This window comes from Homo sapiens, chromosome 1 (assembly GCF_000001405.40).
Source record: "Homo sapiens chromosome 1, GRCh38.p14 Primary Assembly".
Taxonomy (NCBI): domain Eukaryota; kingdom Metazoa; phylum Chordata; class Mammalia; order Primates; family Hominidae; genus Homo; species Homo sapiens.
In genome coordinates, this window is record NC_000001.11 from 78,207,509 (window position 1) to 78,213,508 (window position 6,000).

At 41.0% G+C, this 6,000-nt stretch overlaps 3 annotated features.

The window, feature by feature from the left end:
- Positions 4,462 to 4,712: a silencer, noted in NCBI's record as "fragment chr1:78677654-78677904 (GRCh37/hg19 assembly coordinates)". NCBI's record gives its function as "represses an EF-1alpha promoter that drives an FKBP-Casp9 reporter gene in an ReSE screen in HepG2 liver carcinoma cells {active_cell/tissue: HepG2}" and the evidence as "EXISTENCE:reporter gene assay evidence [ECO:0000049][PMID:32094911]".
- Positions 4,462 to 4,967: a biological region, named in NCBI's record as "H3K4me1 hESC enhancer GRCh37_chr1:78677659-78678159".
- Positions 4,467 to 4,967: an enhancer, noted in NCBI's record as "H3K4me1 hESC enhancer chr1:78677659-78678159 (GRCh37/hg19 assembly coordinates)". NCBI's record gives its function as "activates a minimal SCP1, AML or CMV promoter by ChIP-STARR-seq in naive H9 embryonic stem cells {active_cell/tissue: H9 hESC(naive)}" and the evidence as "EXISTENCE:reporter gene assay evidence [ECO:0000049][PMID:30033119]".

Here is a 6,000-nt window from a genome sequence, read left to right on the forward strand (position 1 = left end):
GAAAACTGGCACAGCACAAGGATGCCATCTCTCACCACTCCTATTCAACATAGTATGGGAAGTTCTGGCCGGGGCAATCAGGCAGGAGAAAGAAATAAAGGGTATTAAAATAGGAAGAGAGGAAGTCAACTTGTCTCTCTTTGCAGATGACATGATTGTATATTTAGAAAACCCCATTGTCTTAGCCCCAAATCTCCTTAAGCTGATAAGCAACTTCAGCAAAGTCTCAGGATACAAAATAAATGTGCAAAAATCACAAGCATTCCTATATACCAATAATAGAGAGCCAAATCATGAGTGAATTCCCATTCACAATTGGTACAAAGAGAATAAAGTACCTAGGAATACAATGCACAGGGATGTGCAGGACCTCTTCAAGGAGAACTACAAACCACACTGCTCAAGGAAATAAGAGGGCACACAAATGGAAAAACATCCCATCCTCATGGGTAGAAATAATCAATATTGTGAATATGGCCATACTGCCTAAAGTAATTTATAGATTCAATGCTATCCCCATCAAGCTACCATTGACTTTCTTCACAGAATTAGAAAAAACTACTTTAAAGTTCATATGGAACCCAAAAAGAGCCCGCATAGCCAAGACACTCCTAAGCAAAAAGAACAAAGCTGGTGGCATCACGCTACCTGACTTCAAACTATACTACAAGGCTACAGTAACCAAACAGCATGCTACTGGTACCAAAACAGATATATAGACCAATGGAACCGAACAGAGGCCTCAGAAATAACTCCACACATCTACAACCATCTGATCTTTGACAAACCTGACAAAAACAAGAAATGGGGAAAGGATTCCCTATTTAATAAATGGTGTTGGGAAAACTGGCTAGCCATACGCAGAAAACTGAAACTGGATCCCTTCCTTACACCTTATACAAAAATTAACTCAAGATGGATTAAAGACTTAAACATAAGACCTAAAACTGTAAAAACCCTGGAAGAAAATCTAGGCAATTCCATTAAGGACATAGGCATGGGGAAAGACTTCATGACTAAGTCATGAAAGCAATGGCAACAAAAGCCAACATTGACAAATTGGATCTAATTTAACTAAAGAGCTTCTACACAGCAAAAGAAACTGTCATCAGAGTGAACAGGCAACCTACAGAATGGGAGAAAATTTTTGCAATCTATACATCTGACAAAGGTCTAATATCCAGAATCTACAAAGAATTTAAACAAATTTACAAGAAAAAAACAAACAACTCCATCAAAAAGTGGGAAAAGGATATGAATAAACACTTCTCAAAAGAAGACATTTATGCAACCAATAAACATGAAAAAAAGCTCATCATCACTGGTCATTAGAGGAATGCAAATCAAAACCACAATAAGATACCATCTCATGCCTGTTAAAATGGCGATCATTAAAAAGTCAGGAAGCGACAGATGCTGGAGAGGATGTGGAGAAATAGGAACATTTTACACTGTTGGTGGGAGTGTAAATTAGTTCAACCATTGTGGAAGACAGTGTGGTGATTCCTCAAGGATCTAGAACCAGAAATCCCATGTGACCCAGCAATTGCATTACTGGGTATATACCCAAAGGATTATAAATCGTTCTACTATAAAGACACATGTACACATGTGTTTATTGCAGCACTGTTCACAATAGCAAAGAGTTGGAACCAACCCAAATGCCCATCCATGATAGACTAGATAAAGAAAATGTGGCACATATACACCATGGAATACTATGGAGCCATAAAAATGATGAGTTCCTGTCCTTTGCAGGGACATGGATGAAGCTGGAAACTATCATTCTTAGAAAACTAACACAGGAACAGAAAACCAAACACCGCATGTTCTCACTCATGAGTGGGAGTTGAACAATGAGAACACATGGACATAGGGAGGGGTACATCACATGCTGGGTCTTGTCAGGGTTTCGGGGGCTAGGGGAGGGATAGCATTAGGAGAAATACCTAATGTAGATGATGGGTTGATGGGTGCAGCAAACCACCATGACACGTGTATACCTATGTAGCAAACCTGCACGTTCTGCACATGTACCATAGAACTTAAAGTATAATAAAAAAGTACATATAGTTGCAACTTATCTAAATAATAAAAAATATTAAAAAACAGAATATAGACCTTATTTAGTGTCTATATGCAACATGCCACAGCAGCCATAGCATATGTTTTACTTACATTACCTCTTTTAGCCTCCATCACAATCTTGCAATGTGGCTACTATGACCATTTTACATATGAAGGCATATAAGCTTTGAGAGGTTAAGGAGTGGCTTCAAGTTCACTCAGCTATTGTATATTAATTTTATTTGTTGCATAATGTGTTCCTACAAACTTAGCAGCTGAAAATAACACCCATTTATTAGCTAACAGTTCTGTAAATTAGAGGCTTAGTCATGGTAAGGGTGGTTTTTCTGTTCACATTCTTGAAAGTCTGAAATCTAGATGTTGCCCAGGCTGCCATTTCTTTTCTGGAGTCTCTGAAAAAGAATCTGGTCCCAATATCCTTCTTGTTGTTGGATGAATTAAATTCTTCATGGTTGTAGCTTGCTGTCAGCTGGGGCGACTCTCAAGTCCTATCTTCTGTATTCCTTGCCACATGGCTTCCTCCATTTTCAAAGCTATTAAGAGAGACTCTCCCTTGTGTTGAATCCCTCTCATGCTTCAAATCTCTTGCCAGGGAAAGCTTCACCTTTTTAAGGTTTACCTGATTAGGTTGGGACCACTGAGGATAATTTCTCTTTTTGAAGGTCAAATGTGGTATATAATATACACCAATTAAAGAGAGTTTATCCTATCACATCCCTAAGTCCCTCCTACACTCAAGGGGACAGGACTATACAAGGATGTGAGTCACTAGAGGATCATGTTAGAATTCCACCCACCACAAAGAGGTAAAGTCAGTCTTAAATTTACATATATTGGATTCCAAGGCCCATGCTGTTTCACTAGGATAGCCTGCATGCAAAGACAAAGACCTTTATTTTTTCTCAAAATAATAGTGATATAGTCACAAACATGTCTATATCATTTTGCTATTTTAAAACCTCTGAGGGATGTCTTCTTATCTTATTAATGTCTATTTAACATTGAATTCCTGGAGGCATTCGTATTAAAATAATAAATAAAGCAAAGATGCCTACTAATTACCATTTTAAAATTTAACATTGTTTTGGAAGTTATGGTGAATTTAATAAGACCTGAAACAGAAATTAGGGATGTATATACTGAAATGGATAATATTATTATATTCAGAGGATATTATTGTGCACCCAGAAATTCCAAGAGAAACAAGGTTGTAAATAATTGGGATTAGAAAGTAAATGTTTAGTACAGTAGCTAGACATATCTATCAATAGGTAAAAAATCCAACAGGAAAAAGCATCCCAACTGAAATAATTTTAGAAGACATAAAAATATCTTGATGAATAAATAGAACTTGCATGAAATATATTGAAAACTCTTCTGAGAAAAATAAAAGACAAATAATTAAGAGATATACATTGTTTCTTGACTGGAGTACCAAAAACTTTGAAGATATAAATTACTTCAAATTGAAAATTTATAGGTTTATTATAATTTAAATCAAATATCACAATTGAAATTTTTAAGGAACCTTAAAAAAACTGATTTGTGGCAAGATGGCTGACTAGATGCAGCTAGGAGGAACATCTGCCACCAAGGCCAGGACACAGGGAAGACTGGTGCAGTCCAAGCAGATCTTCAGAAGGATGGCATTGAGAGTGGATGGAGGCAGGACACAGACACTGGGCTAAAGGGGGAAGAAGGTGTAACCCTGCATGGGGCTACTGTAAACCAGGACTCATTCCTGGCCCTGAGTGACTCCTAGGGTAGGGGTGAGTTGAGCAGACAAAAAGTGACCCACCCTCCCCATGGACCTCTGAAATCTGGGCAGCAGGTGAGCCCCATGACTCACATGGAACACATGAGCTAGCAAGGAGAGCTGCTTAGAGAGGTGGTAGGGGCAGGGCTCCAGTCTGTTTGGAGTCCAGAGGGTTTGGTGTGGGAACTTCTGCAGGGAAGTATGGCCAGGGACGCTCATCCCCCAAGGCTTGCTTTGCTCACCTACAAGACTCTAGCCTTAGGAGAACTGTTGGGACTGAACAGAACAGGATGATCTCGCCTGTGAGACAGGGCCAGTCTGACCTGAATGCCTTTCTGTCTCCTGGCCTCTCCTGGGGCCCCAGCCTGGCTGTGCCTGCTTTCAGTGCATCCTGGGGTGCCTCTCAGAGGCCACATCATAGCTCCTGTGCTGGTAGAACATGCCTGACAGTCAGAGAGCTCCAGCAGAGTGGACTTTCCTGACATGCACCAGCCCGCTTGTACCCTCCCCCTACTGCAGCCTTCCCTGTGCCACAGCCACCCCGTCATAGCTTTACCAGTGCATGTGTGCATGGGTGGACCTCACCTCCCTTTCTCTGCTGGTGCGTGGGTGTGCATGCACCCCACTGTGTCATTGCCGCTGGTATGAATGCACCCACCACCCTCCACCACTATGCTGCAGGATTGCCGTTGCCCTGCCCCATGATGACACTGCTGCAGGTGCTGATGTGCACACAGACCCCAGCAGTTCCCGCCCTTCAACTCCCACCTGTGCCAACACTGCCACAGCTGCTAATGTCCATACAGAGGTTGGCAGCCCCAAGCCCATCAGTGCCCCACCCCAGCTGACAAGCATGCACCCTGTTTCATTGCTGTTGCTGCTAGCATGAGCTGCCACCACTCAAAAAAGTGCTTGGAGTGTTGGGGCCAGCAGTCCAGGAACACCTCAGCCCCTCCAGTGAAACAGGTTCCCAGCCTTGAGGGGGCAGAGAACAATGCCAGGGGCCTGATACCAGCTCCCCGAGGTTACAGCATGCAGCCCAGGAGTGCTGAGCTATGCCTTCAAATATCTACTAGAAACAAATATCTGCTAGAAATGAAGAAGATAAAAGCAAAAACCCCACAAACCTATCCAAAGGATGGCAACTTCAAAGATGGAAGAAACATCAGCCCACACAGATGAGAAAGAAGCAGTGCAAGAACTCTGGCAACTCAAAAAGCCAGAGTGTCTTCTTACTCCAAACAACCACACTAGTTCCCCAACAATGGTTCATAATCAGGCTGAAATGGCTGAAATGACAGAAATATAATTCAGAATATGGATAGGAATGAAGATCATCAACATGCAGGAGAAAGTCAAAACCCAATCCAAGGATTCTTAAGAGACGCAATCAAATGATACAGGAGATGAAAGATGAAATGGCTGTTTTAAGAAAGAACAAAACTGAGCTGATAGAACTGAGAAACTCAATTCAAGAATTTCAGAATACAATTGCAACTATTAATAAAATTGGCCAAGCTGAGGAAAGAATCTCAGAGCTTAAAGACCTGCTCTCTGACATAACTCAGTCAGACAAAAATAAAAAAAAAACCCATAAATAAGAATGAACAAAATCTCTGAGAAATTTGGGATTATCTAAAGAATCCAAATCTATGAATCACTGGTGTGTCTGAAAGACAGGGAGAGAAAGCAAGCAACTTGGAAACCATATTTCAGGATATCATCCATGAAAACTTCCCCAACCTTGCTAGAGAGGCCAACATTCAAATTGAGGAAATGCAGAGAACTCTGGTGAAGTACTTCACAAGAAGACCATCCCCAAGAAACATAGCCATCAGATCCTTCAATGTTGAAATGAAAGAAAAATGTTAAACGGAAAATGTTAAAAATGTTAAGGGAGCCCCATCAGGCTAATAGTGGACCTTTCAGCAGAAAGACTGCAAGCCAGAAGAGAAGAGGGGCGTATATTTGGCATTCTTAAAGAAAAGAATTTCGAGCCCAGAATTTTATATCCAGCCAAACTAAGCTTCATAAGTGAAGGAGAAATAAGATCCTTTTCAGACAAGCAAAGGCTAATGGATTTTGTTACCACCAGACCTGCCTTATATGAGGTTCTGAAGTGAGTGTTAAACATGGAAAGGAAAGACCATTACTGG